A 19,940-nucleotide genomic window follows, 5' to 3' on the forward strand; every position below is an offset into this window, starting at 1 on the left:
GGGAAAAACCTAATTAGATAACTGAATTAATTTTGATATATACTTTTCCATTAAAAAAAAGTTTTTTTTACAAAAAATGTCTATAGCTGGCTGGGGGTGGTGGCTCATGCCTGTAATCCCAGCACTTTGGGAGGCCGAGGCGGGTGGATCACTTGAGGTCAGGAGTTCGAGACCAGCCTGGCCAACATGGTGAAATCCTGTCTCTAATAATACAAAAATCAGTTGGGCGTGGTGGTGCATGCCTGTAATCCCAAGTACTCGGGAGACCGAGGCAGGAGAATCACTTGAACCAGGGAGGTAGAGCTTGCAGTGAGCAGAGATTGTGCAACTGCAGTCTAGCCTGGGTAACACTGAGTGAGACTCCGTCTCTAAACAAACAAATAAGGGGGGTGGCAGGTGGCTGTTCAGGAAGGGAGAAATACTCAGTTCATCTTGCCATGTACATGTATGTGTTTGAATGCACATGCCCCTTAAGATCAAACACAACAGACTTATGTCTTCACATGGAGAACCTTGTCTGACGCTTTCCCAGGGGAAACCAGATGTCCAGATCCACGAAGCTCAGAGATGGTTCAAATAGGGCATTATTTAACAAATACATACTAAATCTTCTATGTGCCAGGAACCATTCTAGAGATCTAATCTGCTTTTTGCATGTACTTAAAACCAACTCTATTTTGCATCAGAACACCTAGCCCTGTATCGTATTAAAGACTTAAGAAATGCTAGATGAAAGAATGCTTAGTGGCAATGAATTAAAAAAAAATCTTTTTTAAGAGAGTGATAATGAATTTTTTTTGGTTTGTTTTTTGAGACGGAGTTTCGCTCTTGTTGCCCAGCCTGGAGTGCAATGGTGCGATCTTGGCTCACTGCAACTTCCACCTCCTGGGTTCAACTAATTCTCCTGCCTCCACCTCCTGAGTAGCTGGGATTATAGGCATGCGCCACCACGGCCGGCTAATTTTGTATTTTTAGTAGAGACGGGGTTTCTCCATGTTGGTCAGGCCGGGATTACAGGCGTGAGACACCACACCCAGCTTTTTTTTTTTTAAGAGACAGGGTCTTGCTTTGTCGCTCTGGCTGGAGTGCAATGGTGCAACCATAGGTCACTGTAGCCTCAAACTCCTAGGTTCAGTGATCCTTTTGCCTCAGTATCCTAAGTAGGTGGGACTATAGGCATGTGTCACCATGCCCACCTCATTTTTTTTTTTTTTTTTGAGACAGAGTCTCCTCTGTCACCAGGCTGGAGTGCAGTGGCGTGATCTTGGCCCACTGCAACCTCCGCCTCCCGGGTTCACGCGATTCTCCTGCCTCAGCCTCCCAAGCAGCTGGGACTACAGGTACCTGCCACCACGCCCATTTAATTTTTGTATTTTTAGTAGAGATGGGGTTTCACCATGTTGGCCAGGATGGTCTTGATATCTTGACCTCATGATCCACCCGCCTCGGCCTCCCAAAATACTGGGATTACAGAAGCAAGCTACCGTGCCTGGCTTCATTTTTAAAATTTTTTTGTAGAAAGAGGCTCTCATCATGTTGCCCAGGCTGGTCTCCAACTCCTAGCCTTAAGTGATCCTCCTGCCTCAGCCTCCCAAAGTGCTGGGATTACAGGCACAAGCTACTACATCTGATGGCAATGTTTTTAATGAGTCTGAATTCGTTAATGAAGGGGAAAATTTATTATTTTTTTTTCCCAATGACTCCCAAGTCCTACTCGCAAACAAATACATTGTAGAAAAAAGTTTAATTGCTGGTTATTGTTTGAATCTTGAAATACAATTCTTCACTGATGATACTGGTATAAAATGGTGGTTATTAATTCATGCTAGCACAACCAAAACTAATTTAACATTATTGGTAAAAATGAGTCATTTTTGAATCTCTATTAAAATCTGAACACATAAACAAATCTGTGCTAAAACTGGAACTGCCTTCTCACTCTACATATAATTAAACTTCCAGCTTCAACCATCTGATGTTGAAATCTAAAGCACCTCCATGAGTTAAATGTCCCCGACAAACCATGTAGATGGACAAACAAGATTGGTGGTCTTTAATTGCTGGCGACAGAAAAGGCTGCAGTTTAGTACTTAAACCTGCAGTTAGTGGTCAACTTTCTATCCAGGCAGAGTAAACTAAGGAGAGCTATGAAATATCAAAAGAAAACTAGAGGCCAGGACAAAGAGGCAATGTCAGCCAAGCCACTGCAAGATGGTATGCACCCCTGTATTTCAGCCAAGGGCAGGCAATCCAAAATTACACACTGCTTTCCTTAACTTGACCAAACAGTGTATTTTTCCTCTGAAAATCTTGTCAAAGGTTGTATTCCATTGTACCTAGTGAAATACAAAGTCCACTCTCATAAAAATATTATATTTTTCAAAAGAAATATAATACATTGAAAATCACTGATTGCTGCTTCTTCGTCTTTTTTTCCGTGAATGTGTAGGTGTTTGAGTCTCTTGTATTTCTTCTTTTACACAGGATATGGGCTGTTTGAAAACTATTTCATCATCTTTATCATCATCATTCAGTTCAGCCACTTGAGATTTTCGCCTCTCCAAAAATGTTGGTGTACAAACTGGTGTGGGGCCCTGGATTCAACAAGTAAAGATTATAATACATAAATGTAAAACATGATTATGACTTTACCCAAAAATATCATCTCTCCTCTATTTTTACAAGTTGTGCCCCATTATTTTAGCTCTGTTACCATCTTTTGGTGATACTATTGCAAAGAATAAAGAACTTAGATGCTTATCAAACTTGGTACAGAAATTCACAATTAACAAATATAGCATGTTCCATTATAAGGTTTTAGGCAGAAAATTGCTAAATCAACAATAAAGATCTACCAAATGTCACAATATTTAATTTGAAATCTTAAAATGAGAGTAGCAGAAACTGCTTCTCCTCCTTCAAATTATTTCTATAATATCTGGTGTCTGGAGTATTGAAAACCATTTTACCTGGCTATCCACAGTCTTCTCAGGAGTGTCAAGAGTACCTGAAACTTTTTTCTTCTTCTTACGTAAAACCTTAAAATAAATTTTAAAACACATCAATTTGAATATTGATCAGCTACAGTAGTCTTGAATATGTTTTCCTACTTATCCTTCTCTAATATCTTGCATGTAAAATGATAAAAAAAATTTTACCTGGCCTTTTGTAGACGTCTGACGATTAGTTTTTGAAATACTTTCCGTTTTCTGTAAAATCTTTAATAAAGAAGTTAGAAATTGACACTCATATCTTTTCTTTCTAAACTTAGCATTAGATCCTCATATATATTATCAGTAAATCCTCCCTAAATGACAAGAGCATTTCATTTTAAAAAATCAAAACTCATAAATACAGTGAATTATCTCAAGTAAAGGGCAAAACTAGGAAAAACCCAGTAGAGGAATTGACAGAGCTGCAGAGGTTGAAGGGAAGGCCAAAACCTGGAGCTCACTGATTCACAGAATCCTGAATTCAGGAGGGTGGAAGCAGGAAGAATGTGCAAAGGCAGGCCACCCCCATCTCCTAAGTCACAAACAGGGTACAGGAAAAGCAGTGCTCACATGCCTCTTTTCAAGTTTCACTGTCTCAGTTCCCAAATGGTTCACAAGAGTACCAGGGCCTAAGGCCTTGGCGAAATATTCTAATACTATTAAAGACAGTATTTGGGATTTGGGCAAAAAATTAACCACCGAGAATTGAGGCAAAGGAGGGTAACACGGTCATCTAGTTTCTGGATAAGGTTAAAAACCTAGTAAATTGGCTGGGCGCAGTGGCTCACGCCTACAATCCCAGCACTTGGGGAGGCCAAGGTGGGTGGATCATGAGGTCAGGAGTTCGAGACCAGCCTGGCTAACATGGTGATGAAACCCTATCTCTACTAAAAAAAATACAAAAAATTAGCTGGGTGTGGTGGTGTGTGCCTGTAGTCCCAGCTACTCGTGGGGGCTGAGGCAGGAGAATCGCTTGAACCTGGGAGGCGGAGGTTGCAGTGAGCTGAGATAGTGCCACTGCACTCCAGCCTGGGCAACAGAGGGAGACTCCATCTCAAAAAAAAAAAAAAAAAAGAAAAGAATGAGACCTTTACCTATACTAGCCATACCATAATAAGCTTCATTCTTGATCTATAATAAAAGACATAGCTCTCCTCACTGTGACAGATGGAGGAAAGGGTCAGTGTTTTGGTATCTACTTATAGCATACAGTAAACCAAAGACTTAATTCTGGCAGTGTCACCTCTGAATGACAATCTTTTTCTTTTTTAGCGATACGGTCTTGCTCTGTTGCTGAGGCTGGAGTGCAATGGTACAATCACAGTTCACTGCAAACTTGAAATCCTAGGCTCAGGAGATCCTGTTGCCTCAGCCTCCTGAGTAGCAAGGACTACAGGCACACACTACCTCAACTGGCTAATAAATGGCAATCTAAGAGTATTACAGTCTTTAGTTAAATAGTGGGTTTACTTCAGTAACTTAAAACAGAACATGTAAGTTAAACAAATCAGATTATCTCCTTAAAAGAAGCTTCCTCTTCTGTATAATAGAAATAACAGAATCTGGTCTCATAATGTTTTAGGAAGAACCTACAATGGAATGTTTCAAAAGTTTAGTCAGGCCAGTCATGGTGGCTCACACCTGTAATCCCAGCACTTTTGGAGGCTGAGGTGGATGGATCACCTGAGGTCAAGAGTTCGAGACCAGACTGACCAACATGGTGAAACCCCATTTCTACTAAAAATACAAAAAATTAGCCGGGTATGGTGGCACGCACCTGTAATCTCAGCTACTCATGAGGGTGAGGCAGGAGAATTGCTTGAACCTGGGAGGTGGAGGTTGCAATGAACTGAGATTGTGCCACTGCACTCCAGCCTGCCTGGGCAACACAGCAAGACTCTGTCTCAAAAAACAAAACAAAACAAAACAAAACAAAAAAGGATGGGTGCAGTGGCTCACGCCTGTAATCCTAGCACTTTGGGAGGCCGAGGCGGGCGGATCACCTGAGGTCAGGAGTTCAAGACCAGCCTGACCAACAAGGAGAAACCCCGTCTCTACTAAAAATACAAAATTAGCCGGGGTGGTGGCGCATGCCTGTAATGCCAGCTACTCGGGAGGCTGAGGCAGAAGAATCGCTTGAACCCCGGAGGCGGAGGTTGCGGTGAGCCAAGATCACACCATCGCACTCCAGCCTGGGCAACAAGGGTGAAACTCCATCTCAAAAAAGAAAAAAAAGTTTAGTCAAAAAACTGGCTGGGCACGTGGCTCATGCCTATTATTCCAACACTTTGGGACGCTGAGGTGGGTGAATCACCTGAGGTCAGGAGTTCGAGACCAGCCTGGCCAACGTGGAGAAACCCCGTCTCTACTAAAAATACAAAAATTAGCCAGACGTGGTGGTGTGCACCTGTAATCCCAACTACTTGGGAGGCTAGAGGCAGGAGAATTGCTTGAACCCAGGATGTGGAAGTTGCAGTGAGTCAAGATTGTGGTAAGTGCTAGGCTAGGTACTTTACAAGGTACAAAGCTGCCCCCTCCCCTCCCCACAACAAACCACAAAAAAGATTTCACGAATATTTACCAAAGAAGGAAAATCATAGTCAATTCCTTTTTTAGCTAATTTCTTCCTGAGTAATCTTTCTTTCTTTTTAAATCGCTCCTCCATCCGTAGCTTTTGTGTTAGTGTCCGATTCCGATTATACCGTTTCACTGATGGATATGATGGCTGCTTAAATGGAATATTCCAGTCTTTAAAGAGTTCTTTATGTACTTTTTCAGGTGGCATAAAATGACCTATTTTCAAAAAGAAAAAAACATAAAGGTATTTTAATGTTAACTTTAGAATCTCCGCAGTGCCATTCCTCACACAACAAAATGATATGGCTGGGTACAGTGGCTCACACCTGTAATCCCAGCTTCTCTCACAGCAATGCGAAGTGAATAGAGAGACAAGACCTGGGCAGCCTTGTCAGCTGTGAACTTGGGTACCTAAGACGGCCACATGCCACCATGGGCACAGGGAAGCCAGAAACTTCGCTTTGCCTCCCAAGGGCAGCAGGATCTGGACAGGGATGCTCTCTGCACCCTATGGACTGCAGGGTAGGGGGCTTCACTGGCTTCTTTCTGCAGGATAAATTACTCATCTGGTGCGTCACTCCTCCACTCCCTCTGGCTTCTCTCGTGTGGAAGAGCTACAGCCATTGCCATTTAGACAGATTTTGCAACGCGATTCCTGACCTTTGATGCTATCCCCACTGCCCTCAGGATAAATTCGGAACTCGCTGACTTAGAAGGCCTTCAGTAACCTGACCTGAAGCCTCTTCTTGCTCCTTCATCTCTTGCTACTTTTCCTCACATTCTCTCACAGCTGAATGGTTAGGCATCATTGGTTTGGCATTCACTGTCCCTCAGCCAGGAATGGTCTGTCTTCACTCCTGTCCCCTTCACCTGGCTCACTCCTGTTTAGTCTTCAGGTTTCAATGTCAACTATACTTCCTTAGAGAAGCCTTTCACAGCCCATAAGGATGGGTTAGCTGCTCCTCCCATGTGTCCCCAAGGTAACTTGTCCAGTTCCATTTAGGGTAAAAACAGCTCTCAGGCTAGATTTTAAAATTCCAATTAGAATCTGCCTGCAACATACACTGAAATCCTTGCACCATTCTGTAAGACTCATCCCAGAGATGAAGTGGCATGTCCAAGCAGCTAGGCAAGCCGCCCTTCCCACCACAGTCACCCACCAACAGCAGGCACCCAGGCAACCCTGCGGTAAGACAGGAGCACTTACACTCCAAGAGTCTTTCACCAAACAGGTAGTTGTTCATTGTTTCAGCAACTATTTTGGCAACATCCTCAGACTCAAACTCCACAAATGCATAGCCTTTGCTATTTCCAGTCTGCAACAGAGAAACCGCCACAAAAAGTAGAACAATTAAATTTGAATGCGTCATCAAATTCCTAAAATGCCATTATTTTAAATAATGTATATTAGCCCCTTATCAAATATTACGTACGACACGCTTAATTCTAACTTCAATTCACATATTCCGGGGACTGTTATGGGAAAAAGAAAAGATGCACGAGTCTGAACACACAGCTGATTTTCTGGTATTCTTGGGATTTTGGTTACATATGATAAATACACAATTCCTATGGCTGGAATTTATTCAGTAACAACACTCCGTGATATTAAAAAAGTCTTCAACTTAAAAGTCACATGGCTTAACAGTGGGAATCAGGAGGCTCATTTCCAGCACCAGTTGTGTCAGTAACAAGCAACTTGGACACTTCCACAACTGAGTCTCAGCTTAATTATCTTCAACAGGTGGATTCTGGGAAAAATTTAAATCCCTCAAAATCCATTTATAATCCCAACACTCAAAAGAGAGGGGAAGGCCAGGCGCGGTGGCTCACCCCTGCAATCTCAGCACTTTGGGAGGCCGAGGGTGGATCATCTGAGGTGAGGAGTTCAAGACCAGCCTGGTCAACACGGTGAAACCCCATCTCTACTAAAAATATAAAATATTCACTTTGGGAGGCCAAGGAGGGTGGATCTCAAGGTCAGGGGTTTGAGACCAGCCTGGCCAACATGGTGAAACCCCATCTCTACTAAAAATACAAAAAATTAGCTGGGCATGGTGACATGTACCTGTAATCCCAGCTACTCAGGAGGCTGAGCCAGAAGAATCACTTGAACCTGAGAGGCAGAGGTTGTAGTGAGCTGAGATCGCGCCACTGCACTCCAGCCTGGGCAACAGAATAAGACTCCATCTCAAAAAAGAAAAACTAGGCCAAGAGGGGTGGCTCATGCCTGTAATCCCAGCACTCCAGGAGGCCGAGGTGGGTGGATCACCTGAGGTCAGGAGTTCGAGACCAGCCTGGCCAAAATGGTGAAACCGTGTCTCTACTAAAAATACAAAAATTAGGCCGGGCACAGTGGCTCACACCTGTAATCCCCACACTTTGGGAGGCCGAGGCAGGTGGATCACCTGAGATTGGGAGCTCAAAATCATCCTGACCAATATGGTGAAACCCCATCTCTACTAAAAATACAAAAATTAGCTGGGTGTGGTGGTGCACGCCTATAATCCCAGCTATTCAGGAGGCTGAGGCAGGAGAATCACTTGAATCCGAGAGGCTGAGGGTGCAGTGAGCCAAGACTGTGCCACTGCACTCCAGCCTGGGCAACAGAGTGAGACTCCATTTAAAAAAAAAAAAAAAATTAGCCAGGCATGGTGGCAGGCACCTATAATCCCAGCTACTCGGGAGGCTGGGGCAGGAGAATCACTTGAATCCGGGAGGCGGACATCGCAGTCAGCTGAGGAACTGTGCCACTGCACTCCAGCCCGGGCGACAGAGTGAGACTCCGTCGCAAACAAAACAAAACCAAAACAAAACAAAAAAAAAATGAATAGAATGAAATAGAAAATCAGCGCATCACACAAAACAAGTTTAAATATTGTCTCATTTGGCTTTTATTTCAGTTATGCTTACATGCATATGTATGTGTGCTGGTTTGTGCTGTAAAACTTTTTTTAAAACCCTCATCTTCTTTGTGATGGTAAAAACTTACCTCTTATTGTGAGCCAAAGTCTGCAAAATACTCTTCTAGAAAATTCTGCCTATACCTGTACAAAGATTGTTCCTAGCAGCTTAATCTAAAGAGTTAAAAATATTAAAAAACCTAATGTTCGGGCTGGGCACAGTGGCTCGCTCATGCTTGTAATCCCAGTACCTTGGGAGGCCGAGGTGGGCGGATCATCTGAGGTCAGGAGTTTGAGACCAGCCTGGCCAAAACAGTGTTTAGTAGAAACACTGTTTCTACTAAAAATACAAAAATTAGCCAGGTGCAGTGGCCGGTACCTGTAATCCCAGCCACTCAGGAGGGTGAGGAAAGAGAATCACTTGAATCTGGGAGGCAGAGGTTGCAGTGAGCCGAGATCGCCCCCCAAAACAAAACCTAATGTTCAATAGGAGGGTGGATAAACTTTAGTAACCTAAGTAATGAGCAATGATGATAACAAAGGCAATAGAGTTACATGGATAAAGCTCAGATTATTGAATACAAAAATTCAGCTGAAGAATGATAGAGTAATATAATTTTAAAATAATACCATATGTACATTTATATATGTACACATATGTATTCTAGTACATATATATATAGTAAAAACTTATATATAGCAATGAAAACTGAATTTGTGGCCGGGCGCACTGGCTCACGCCTGTAATCTCAGCACTTTGGGAGGCCGAGGCGGGAGGATCACAAGGTCAGGAGTTCGAGACCAGCCTGGCCAACATAGTGAAACCCCGTCTCTAGTAAAACACACAAAAAATTAGCCAGGCATGGTGGCAGGCGCCTGTAATCCCAGCTACTTGGGAAGGTGACGCAAGGAGAATTGCTTGAACCCGGGAAGCGGAGGTTGCAGTGAGCTGAGATTGTACCACTGCACTCCAGCCCGGGCGACAGTGCAAGCCTCAGTCTCAAAAAAAAGAAAACTGAATTTGTGAATTTAATTCCCTAATTAAAGAAGTTGAAGAGCACTGGGAAGGGTACAAAAGGGACCTCAATTCTACCTACAATCTATCTTTACGACAACTAACAGATGATGGATGTGCACCCTATCCCCCACATGCTAAATCAAATAGGTGTCTATGGCTACAACCAATTAAAGTTTATGTGCGGGGAAAGAAAAGAAAGTGGGTCACTCCTCCACTATTGAAACAAGCTATGTAAAGCGTTTTCTCATTAGAAGGCAGGTATGACACAAATAGTAATTATACTTATATAGTGTTTATTGTGTACCAAGCAATCCTCTAAAGACTTTATATTTAACCTTTGACTAAATACTCCCAGGAAGTTTTACTTATATTTAACAGATCACAACACTGAAACATGGTAAGGTCATATCACTCTAACTAGTAAGGTGTAGAGCCTGACCCCAAACCTCAGCAGTCCAACTCCAGAGTCCTCACCTTTAACTATTCACTATATAAACCTTTGCTATTATAAGGATGCTTGTACCAAAGGCTAACACAAGAAAATGTATAAACCTGGGCCTCATACTAAAGCTCATTTACCAGGACTGTCAATTTAATGTAAGGATTTGGAGAAATGTAAAAAACAAACTTTTACAATAATACTGATTTTGCTCCTGTAGCTGTTTCAGATTCTAAACCTCCTCCACTCTCCTTTTTGGAATGAAATCTGATAAGCAATAATGTATGCGTGAACGTGCTCTTTAATGTCAAGGATAATACACATTTGAAAAACAAAACATTAAATCCAACTGCAAAAATCTTACCCTTTTACTTCTGGACAGCCTGAACCGTGTCACAGTGCCAAACTGGGAGAAATATGAAAAGATCTGGGTTTCGTCAAGTAGGTTAGGTAGGTGGCGCACATAGACTACTCCAGGAGTAAGTTGTTCTTGTTTTTTTCGCTAAAGACGTAAAGACCAGGTAAATTAAATATATAAATAAGAAAATCACATTGTAACAAAACCCCTAGCCCTCGGCCCAAGAACCTATTCTGCATTTCCACTTACCACAGTAGTAATTAAAGAACTGGCTGTTTAGTGTTTCTCTCCCCACAAAGGCCATGGTCAAGCAGTAGTCAACTATCTTTCCAGCCTGGCATCCCAGCACCCAGTATAATATTAGAGCTCAATAACTATGTCAATCAACGGATAAGCAAGGACATCTTTGAACAAGCCATTTTAGATCTTCTGCCCAGAGAACTCTACATAAACGTAGGCTTCAATTTGGTATGCATATTACTGTTTACTCGCACTTCATCGAAAAATTTTCGATACGCTTGTTAACTCTCACGGTACAGATTAGCCTTTCAACGTCTCAGTCATCATAGCCTTACCTCTGTAACAGGAACTTCTAAGTTTTCCTGTGTATTTTATGCTAAAAACCACAGAAAGTATAAGCGATGTCAGGGGCCCTAGTCAGCAAGTGGAACCTGGCAAATACTCTATTTTAATAACTCCCAGATCACCAACCCGGCATACAAACTTCCCGAATGTGTTAAGTCTGGGGCTCCCATTTTTGGGGGAAACGCGGAAGCGTGACAGCTCTAACCCGGAGATAACCTGTGGTATAGGAGCCTATTCCCTCCAGCTGGTTCTTTCTACTGCTTCTGTCACCCCAATACTTCCCCGTTACCCTCCACATGAAGGCTCCAGGGCCTCAGCGGCCAAACCCCTCCATCATTTACCGAACAGCGTAAACCCTTTCGTCTCGGAAACCGTGGCCTGCAAGCTTAAGAGGTCGGTCCCTGATTCGGTCGAATCCACTTGGGAGACCCTGGAGGTAATGAAGGCGAGCACGAAGGCAAGGGGCGCCCGGGCCGGAAACCGTGCAACCCCAGATACCCTCTAGACCCGGTCCATCGCCCCCGCTCGCAGCCTGGGCCAGGGTGCCTGCTCACCTGGGTTATGCGCTTGCGAACCTGCGCCACCTCCTTTTGAAACTCGACATCTTCCTGCGGATTAAGCGACAGGATTGGCCCAGCCGGGCCAGAAAAAGTCGCCATGCCAAAAGCCGCCGACGCTAACCACGCGGCGCTCCCGGAAACGTCGGGCTCCCAGCTCCCCCGAGGCGGAAGTAGAGGCAGGACAGGGGCGGGGCGAAGCGCTAAGGCGAGGCGAGGCGTGGCGAGGGGCGGGGAGGGCCATGAGTCGGGCGCGGGGTTGGAGCAGGAGTTGCCCGGAGAAGCGGGGGCGGGGCACGGGGTGTGGCGAGGCGCGGGGCGGGGCATAAATTGCGCCAGGGGCGAGGGCGGGGCACGAGGTCGTGCCGAGAGACTGGGAGAGGCGTGAGTCGCGCGGAGGCGCGACATGGGGCGTGACGAGGAGCGGAGGGCGGGGCGTGAGTAGCGCCGAGGCGCGGAGGCGGGGCGCAGGGGCGTGCCGAGGCGCGGCAGCGGGGTCTGGGGCTGGGGCTGGGCCGTGGGGAGCTCCCGCACCCTCGGCTGTCGGGGCGCCGGCTGGCTTCGCTTAAGAGTGCCTGAAACAATTACGTTCACGCCTACTTTCAAAAAAGGTCTAAAATAAATTCCAAAACAGTACCTGTGTCCTTGAGATGCTGCTCTCATTCCTCAATTTGCTTATTATTATTATTATTTTTTTTTGAGACAGAGTTTCGCTTTGGTTGCCCAGGCTGGAGTGCAATGGCGCAATCTCGGCTCACTGCAACTTCCAACTTCCGCCTCCCGGGTTCAAGCGATTCTCCTGCCTCAGTCTTCCGAGTAGCTGATTACAGGCGCCCGCCACCACTCCCAGCTTAATTTGTACGTTACCACTCCCAGCTTAATTTGTATGTTTAGTAGAAACGGGGTTTCACCATGTTGGCCAGGCTGGTCTCGAACTCCTGACCTCAGGTGATCCACCCGCCTCAGCCTCCCAAAGTACTGGGATAACAGGCGTGAGCCACCGCGCCCGGCCCTAATTTGGTTATTCTTTCACTCACTTGTGTGTGAGCTCTCCTGTGTGGCCCCGTCCGTCCGCGGCCCTTGGAGAACTTACAGCCTGAGGGCAGCATGGCTGCTTTAAGAGACCAAAGAGGCTTGTGGGGGAGAGGCACACTGGGTGGCGCCGGAGGGTCCCCCTTAGGAGGTGGCGTTAGCACCGAGGCCTGAAGGCTAAAGAGCGGGGTGTGGAGAACCGAGCGCCTGCCGTCCGCTGGACCGGACAGGCCTGCACAGTGTTCCTAGGTCTAGAAAGAAGGACGCGGCAGTGGGGTTGGAGCCCAGCACAGGAGGGAAGAGCTGCGAGGCGGCAGGCTGGAGCCCCATGACTGTGTGTCAAAGTATGAAACTGGGGTTTTGTAAATGCGAGGGGATGGGCGGGTTTAAAGCGAGGCTGTGGCTGTTTGCATCTTTCTTTTCTTTTTTTTTTTTTGAGACGGAGTCTCGTTCTGTCGTCCAGGCTGGAGTGCAGTGGCGCGATTTTGGCTCACTCACTGCAACCTCCGCCTCCTGGGTTCAAGCAATTCTCCTTCCTCAGCCTCCCGACTAGCTGGGACTACAGGTGCACACCACTACTCCCGGCTAATTTTTGTATTTTTAGTAGAAACGAGGTTTCGCCATTTTGGCCAGGCTGGTCGAGAACCCCTGACCTTAAGTGATCTACCCGCCTCGGCCTCCCAAAGTGCTGGGATTACAGGCGTGAGCCACCGCACCCGGCCTGTTTGTACCTTTCAAATACTATTATACTAGTGAGTAACTGAGTGGAGAGGAAGGGTGGGGAGTGGATTGCCGAGGAAGCAGGGAGGTGAGGCGAGAGCGACAGATCAAGCACAGCTGGTGTCAGGGGATAGCTGCGGCCGTGTTCTGGAAGCCGTGAAGGCGGCCCAGGGTGTGTGTGCCCGAAGAGTGGCCTGTGGGCCTGAGGTGGAGGCCCTGGGAGGGAGTGCCAAGCGAGGCCAGCCCACTTCCTCTGACAGACGTGCCTCCCACGCTCACAGTCTTCGCCTCCTTCACCCCTGCACCCTCCGGCTCAGCGCCACCGTCACCCCCAAGGGGGCATCCCTGACCCTGTAGCAAAGTCAGTTCTTCCAGTTAAGCGCTGTCTTCCCATTGTGTTTTCATGGGTAGGCTGGATTTTCGGGAGTGAGCGAGCAAGAGCAATTTGATTCTTTTTCAGGGCTGCCCCTTTCCATGGGCTTGTTCTTGCTCCCCCCAGGATGAAATCTTGGGGAGAGCTCCGCACTTGTGATTGCTCCTCAGATGTCAGTCAATAGAAGCATGTTCCACGCGTTCAAAATCTAATATCAAATGTCTCCTCTCCCCAGCTCAGTGTCTCTGGCAGAGAAATCCCCAAAGGGGAGCACAGTCCACATCGTCTTTATTCTTGGCTCCACTTTCTCTGTACACCCCAGTTTCTGTTTTTGGGCTTTCCAGGATTAGGACAGGGAAGAGAGGGAGGAGAAAGCAGAAAGGGGCTCCTTGCTGGCAGGTGCCACGTGGCCAGGGAGTTTTAGAGGCTGCAAATGCCAGGTTGCTGGCACCTTGTCTCCAAGCACACTTTTGAGGTGTCCCTCACCTGGCTGCTCATGACTCTACCTGCCTGCCAGCCGAGGTCAGCTCTGTGCCCAGAGGCTCCTCCTGGAAGGGCCTTTCCAAGTGGACTTTATCATCCTGATCCTTTAAGAAGGGCCACATGTTTTGTCTGTCACTGCCATGGGATTGCTGCCAGGCAGGCCTCCTGGCTGGCATCACAGATGTTGGTGTATAAACCAGGTACAATCCCTGTATCCCCCAAATTCCAGAGGATGTAGATAAGTTCACTGGTTCCCTGAAGGTACCATCCGTGTCCTCGTGTGTGTGTGCGTGTGTGTGTGTGTGTGTGTGTGTGAACACTCCCCTCCTTCCTGAAGGTGGAATCTTGACATGTCTCATAGCTACTTAGGGGAGATGAGGATACAGGAAGGAATGACGGCAAGCACTTCTCTATGGAAATCCTTTTTCAGGTATTCCCAGTCACCTCCACCTCTATGAGTTCCTGGTCTTGCCTTACATCCCCCCAGGGGGGTAGTGATCCAAGGCTTCTCAAACTTGAATGAGCATGTGGATTGCCTGCACCAGGCAGGTGCTGATTCAGTAGGTCTGAGGTGGCCCAGGTTCTGTGTTCCTAACAAGCTTCCAGAAGAGGCCGATACTCCATAGACCACACTCCGAAGCAGGAATAGAGATTTGTGGCATTGATTACTGGGTCAGAATTCTGGGACAGAATGTATTCTGTCACCCTCAAAAGATTTGTTCAAGTCCTAATCGCTGGTACATGGGTACATGTGAATGAGACTGTACTTGGAGAGTCTTTGAGGATGGAATCACATTAAGATGAGGTCATGACCGGGCACGGTGGCTCACGCCTGTAATCCCAGCACTTTTGGAGGCTGAGGCGGGCAGATCACTTGAGGTCAAGAGTTCGAGACTAGCCTGGCCAACATGGTGAAACTCTGTCTCTACTAAAAATACAAAAATTAGCCAAGCGTGGTGGCATGTGCCTGTAATCCCAGCTACTCGGGAGGCTGCGGTGGGAGAACCGCTTGAACCTGGGAGGCAGAGGTTGCAGTGAGCCGAGATTGTGCCATTGTACTCCAGCCTGGCGACAGAGCAAGATTCTGTCTCAAAACAAAACAAAACAAAGATGAGGTCCTGTTGGGTTTGCGTTAGCTGTAAACCGTGACTAGTGTCCTATGAGAAGAGAGCATTTTGGGCGTGCACATATGCAGAATGCCATGTGATGGGCAAAGCAGAAGTTGGAGTGATGCTGCCACCAGCATCCACAATTGTGAGAGAATATGTTTCTGTTGTTTTAAGCCTTTCCGTTTGTGGTAAGTTATCCTGGCAGCCACAGGGAAAAACACAGTTGCTGTACAGGCTGCGTGGTCTGAGGACAGCACCGGTCCTGGGCCTGTCTTGGTATGTCGGGTTCTCGTTGCGTGTTAGGGCAGGTCCTGGAGGACCTCCGGGATGCTCACAGATGGATGCCAGGCCCCCTCTCCTCCTTCCCTCCCTCTCTCCCTTCCTTCCTCCTTCCCTTTCTTCCTTTTGATGTTTTTGTTTGTTTGTTTGTTTTTAATTCTTCCTTCTGATTTTGCATGTAGATGGGGAGCTACTGACACTTTGGGTGGGACAGTTCTTCACTGAGCTGGACCGTCCTGTGCACACTACTTTTGTACCCTCATCCCCTGCTCATTGTAACAATCAAGATGCCTCTGGGCATTTCCATACAGCCCCGAGCAGACTATTGAGTCCTCAGTGTGTGTCACCTGCTTCTCTTCCCGCACGAATCACCCAGGCCTCCTCCACCCCCCATGCCACCCCACCCTTATCACCTGTGGCCTGGAGCACCTATTGGGGGCCAAGCACGGAAATTGAGGAGGGCCGGTGGCAGGGCTGGGCAGGCAGCAGGGTGAGGCAGGGCACATGAGAGACCAGGAGGGAGAGGGCTCTCTGGGGTGGGGCTGAGGTTCCCCCTACTGCTCAGCCCTGTCTCCCTTCCCCCTCCTGTGTTCCTCTCCCTCCCCACCACTCTGCCTGGTCCCTGTGGGGTTGCCTGATGAGCCACTCCGATATCCGGCCCAGCCGTCCCTTACTTGGTCACAGGATTTCTTAGTATGTTCGGGTTACTATAACAAAAATATCATAGACCAGGTGGCTTATAAAAACAGACATTTACTTCTCACAGTTCTGGAGGCTGGAAGTCCATGATCAGGGTGTTGGGAGGTTGGTGTCTGTTGAGGACCCACTTCCTGGTTTGTACGAAGTGTCTTCAGTAGTGTCCTCACATGGCTGAGAGAGAAGCAAGCTCCCCGGTATCTCTTCTTATAATGTCCCTAATCGCATCATGGGGCTCCACCTCATGACCTCATCACCTCCCACAGGCCCCATCTCTTCCCACCATCAGAATGGGGATCAGGGCTTCAACATAGAAATTTTGGGAGGACACATTCAGTCCAGCAAAGGGATTCTAGGGATGGGCCTGAAAGGGGCAGCTCTGTAGGAAGAAGTGGGAAGAAACCCTTGTCTGTGCCACCTCAACAGTGTGGCCTCCATAAATGCCAGTCTGCAGAGAATTCAGGGCCATGTGATCTGAAGCGGTGAGGGAAATTTCCTTCCTCTTCTGCTGGGATTGGCCATCATTTCTGCCATGCTCTGCCCTGTGTGAAGTTTAACATGTACGGCCCCAAGACTAGACACCAAGTCTGGCAGTGTCCCATGGGAGGCTGGTGGACTGCGAGAAAGGGTGGGGGAGAGTGGAGAGTGGGGTGCCCAGAGGGCCTGGATTCCCTCTGATGGCCCCTGTGCTGACTCACCCCATCCCCTCCCCATCACGGGATCCTTTCCTGCCTTTCAGTAAGGGATGTGAGTGTCCTGGGTCCTGTGGGGCTTGCAGTCCTCATTGTGGCACCCTCTTCCCAGCCTGAAGCCTGTCTCCTGCTGGGCTCATCACCCTCCCTCATCACCCTGGTCCCCAACCCTTTTCTCTGTTCTCCTACTGCAGGCCTCAACTTCCAACCAGTCTTGTTTCCACCCCCTCCTGCCATTCAAGGAACCTTGCAGAAGTGCAGCTCCAATTATCTGGCCTTCTGGGCTATTAAATGAGGCATCATTTCACCCTTAAATTAGCCCAAATGTCTACTGTGTTCATATTCATGTTGGGAAAGGGGCAGACACAGCGGCTCACCCAGGCTCTGGTGGGCAGGGGGTGGAAATTAGTTCAACTTCTTTGGGTAGTGGTGTGACAAAATGTGTCAAGAACTTTAAAAATAGGACCTATCAAAAGAAATGATCTTAAATCCTGATAAGGGCTTACAAAGCATCACTATGCCATTTATAATAGGAAGAACTGGAAACAATCTAAACAGCCTATGATAAGGAACTGGGTTAAAACACATGGTATGTGCATTTGCTGCATGAAACATTAAAAATGTTTGCATTTCAAAATTATTTTAAAATTTATAAACCACTGCAGTCATAAAGGAGAATGAAATCATGTCCTTTGTAGCAACATGGATGGAACTGGAGGCCATCATCCTAGGTGAGCTAACCCAGAAACAGAAAACTGAATACGTCATATTCTCATAAGTGGGAGCTAAACAGTGGGTACACGTGGCCATAAAAATAGAAATGACAGATACTGGGGACTCCAAGAGAGAGGAGGTGGGAGAGGCAAAAGGCTTGAAAAATTACGTGCTGGGACGATGTTCACTGTGTGGGTGATGAGTACACTGGAAACCCAGTCACCACCAGTATGCAGTGTACCCATGTAATAAACAAGCACAGAGCTGCCCCTTTCAGGCCCATCCCTAGAATCCCTTTGCCTGATTCTAAAAATAAAATATTATAAGACACAATGAGATGATCATTTTTATGTGACAAGGGTTATTTTTTATGCGTTTATTTATTTTAAGAGACAGAGTCTCACTCTTTTACCCAGGCTAGAGTGTTGCTAGGCGATCACTGCTCACTGCAGCCTCCACCTCCTGGGCTCAAGCAGTCTTCCCACCTTGGCCTCCCAGTGTTGGGATTACAGCCATGAGCCATGGCGCCTGGCCACAACTGTTCTTTTTTTTTTTTTTTTTTTAATATATTTTAGTTCTATAAACTTTTTTAAACAGACAAGACCTACAGACTTATTTCTTCCTGGACAGACCACAGTATTGCCCCAGCTGCCAGTGGTCTTGGCGTGCTGGCTCTGGACACAAAGGCCCCAGAAGTGGCACAGCCCTCTGTGGGCCTGAATCTCCTTTAGTTGCTCCAGGTCCTCGTGGAACTTGTTGTCCAGACCATTGTCTAGGACCTGGCTATATTTCCTATCCTTTGCATGCTCCTTTCCTTTTCCCTTTGCTTTCCTTTCTTTTCCTTTCCTTTGTTTTTTCTTTTTCTTTTTCCTTTTTTTGAGACGGACTTTCACTCTTGTTGCCCAGGCTGGAGTGCAGCGGTGCGATCTTGGCTCACTGCAACCTCCACCTCCTGGCTTCAAGTGATTCTCCTGCCTCAGCCTCCCAAGTAGCTGGGATTACAGGCATGTGCCACCATGCCTGGCTAATTTTTGTTGTTGTTGTTATGTGTAATCTACATACTGTTTTATGGCAACAAATGTGAACATTTAAGCCAAATTTTTAAAGATAATAAAAGTGGAAAAAATAAAGTCAAGATAGGATTGACTACTTAAATATACTAACAACCATGGAATAAAATGAAGGGGATGCACATATCCCTAAAAATGTTAACAGGCCCAGATGGCTTTATGGGTAAGTTCTACCAAATTTTTATTGAATAAAAATGATACTATATACCCTATGAACTGTTTCAGACCCGAAAAATAAAAAAGGGAAGCTCCTCAATTAATTCTAGAATCCTAGTTTAACTTCACACCTAAACCAAATAAATAGCTTTCTTTTTTTTAACTTTAAATCATAACATTTAATTCAGTTGTGAATGTCTTCCACATCACATGTTATTTCTTTTTTTTTTCTTTTTTAAAAAATTATACTTTAAGTTCTGGGTTACATGTGCAGAATGTGCAGTTTTGTTACATAGCTATACATGTGCCATGGTGGTTTGCTGCAGCCATCAACCTGTCACCTACCTTAGGTATTTCTCCTAATATTATCCCTCCCCTAGTCATCCACCCCCTGACAGGCCCTGGTGTGTGATGTGTTCCCTGTGTCCATGTGTTCCCATTGTTCAACTCCCACTTATGAGTGAGAACACATGGTGTTTGGTTTTCTGATCTTGTGACAGTTTGCTGAGAATGATGGTTTCCAGCTTCATCCATGTCCCTACAAAGGACATGAACTCATCCTTTTTTATGGCTGCACAGTATTCCATGATGTATATGTGCCACATTTTCTTAATCCAGTCTATCATTAATGGACATTTGGGTTGGTTCCAAGTCTTTGCTATTGTTAATAGTGCCACAGTAAACATATGTGTGCATGTGTCTTTATCGTAGAATGATTTATAATCCTTTGGGTATATGCCCAGTAATGGGATTGCTGGGTCAAATGGTATTTCTAGTTCTAGATCCTTGAGGAATCGCCACACTGTCTTCCACAATGGTTGAACTAATTTACACTCCCACCCACAGTGTAAAAGCATTCCTATTTTTCTACAACCTCGCCAGCATCTGTTGTTTATTGACTTTAATGATCACCATTCTAACTGGCATGAGACGGTATCTCATTGTGGTTTTGATTTGCATTTCTCTAATGACCAGTGATGTTGAGCATTTTTTCATATGTCTGTTGGCTGCATAAATGTCTTCTTTTGAGAAGTGTCTGTTCATATTCTTTGCCCATTTTTTGATGGGTTTTTTCTTGTAAATTTGTTTAAGTTCTTTGTAGATTCTGGATATTAGCCCTTTGTCAGATGGATAGATTGCAAAAATTTTCTCCCATTCTCTAGGTTGCCTGTTCATTCTGATGATA

General features: G+C 46.2%; 1 protein-coding gene and 1 long non-coding RNA gene across 2 annotated transcripts in view, besides 2 other annotated features; one reads left to right on the forward strand and one right to left on the reverse strand.

Moving 5' to 3' along the window:
* NIFK-AS1 (NIFK antisense RNA 1) overlaps positions 1-3,242 on the forward strand; it is a 78,907-nt gene extending 75,665 nt beyond the window's left edge. The window contains exon 4 of the long non-coding RNA NR_037857.1: positions 2,485-3,242. This is a non-coding gene — a long non-coding RNA (NIFK antisense RNA 1). The remainder of the gene's footprint in view (positions 1-2,484) is intronic.
* On the reverse strand, positions 1,627-11,557 carry NIFK (nucleolar protein interacting with the FHA domain of MKI67). Its single transcript, NM_032390.5, has 7 exons — positions 11,428-11,557; positions 10,295-10,432; positions 6,778-6,886; positions 5,575-5,786; positions 3,159-3,218; positions 2,970-3,038; positions 1,627-2,594 (listed from the first exon to the last, which is right to left on the reverse strand). Exons 1-7 carry the CDS (start codon positions 11,530-11,532, stop codon positions 2,406-2,408), a joined length of 882 nt encoding a protein of 293 aa, NP_115766.3. The 5' UTR covers positions 11,533-11,557; the 3' UTR covers positions 1,627-2,405.
* Positions 11,444-11,493: an enhancer, noted in NCBI's record as "active region_16471". NCBI's record gives its function as "activates an Ori minimal core promoter by ATAC-STARR-seq in GM12878 lymphoblastoid cells {active_cell/tissue: GM12878}" and the evidence as "EXISTENCE:reporter gene assay evidence [ECO:0000049][PMID:35858748]".
* Positions 11,594-12,043: a silencer, noted in NCBI's record as "silent region_11923". NCBI's record gives its function as "represses an Ori minimal core promoter by ATAC-STARR-seq in GM12878 lymphoblastoid cells {active_cell/tissue: GM12878}" and the evidence as "EXISTENCE:reporter gene assay evidence [ECO:0000049][PMID:35858748]".

This window comes from Homo sapiens, chromosome 2 (assembly GCF_000001405.40).
Source record: "Homo sapiens chromosome 2, GRCh38.p14 Primary Assembly".
NCBI classification, from domain to species: Eukaryota; Metazoa; Chordata; class Mammalia; order Primates; family Hominidae; genus Homo; species Homo sapiens.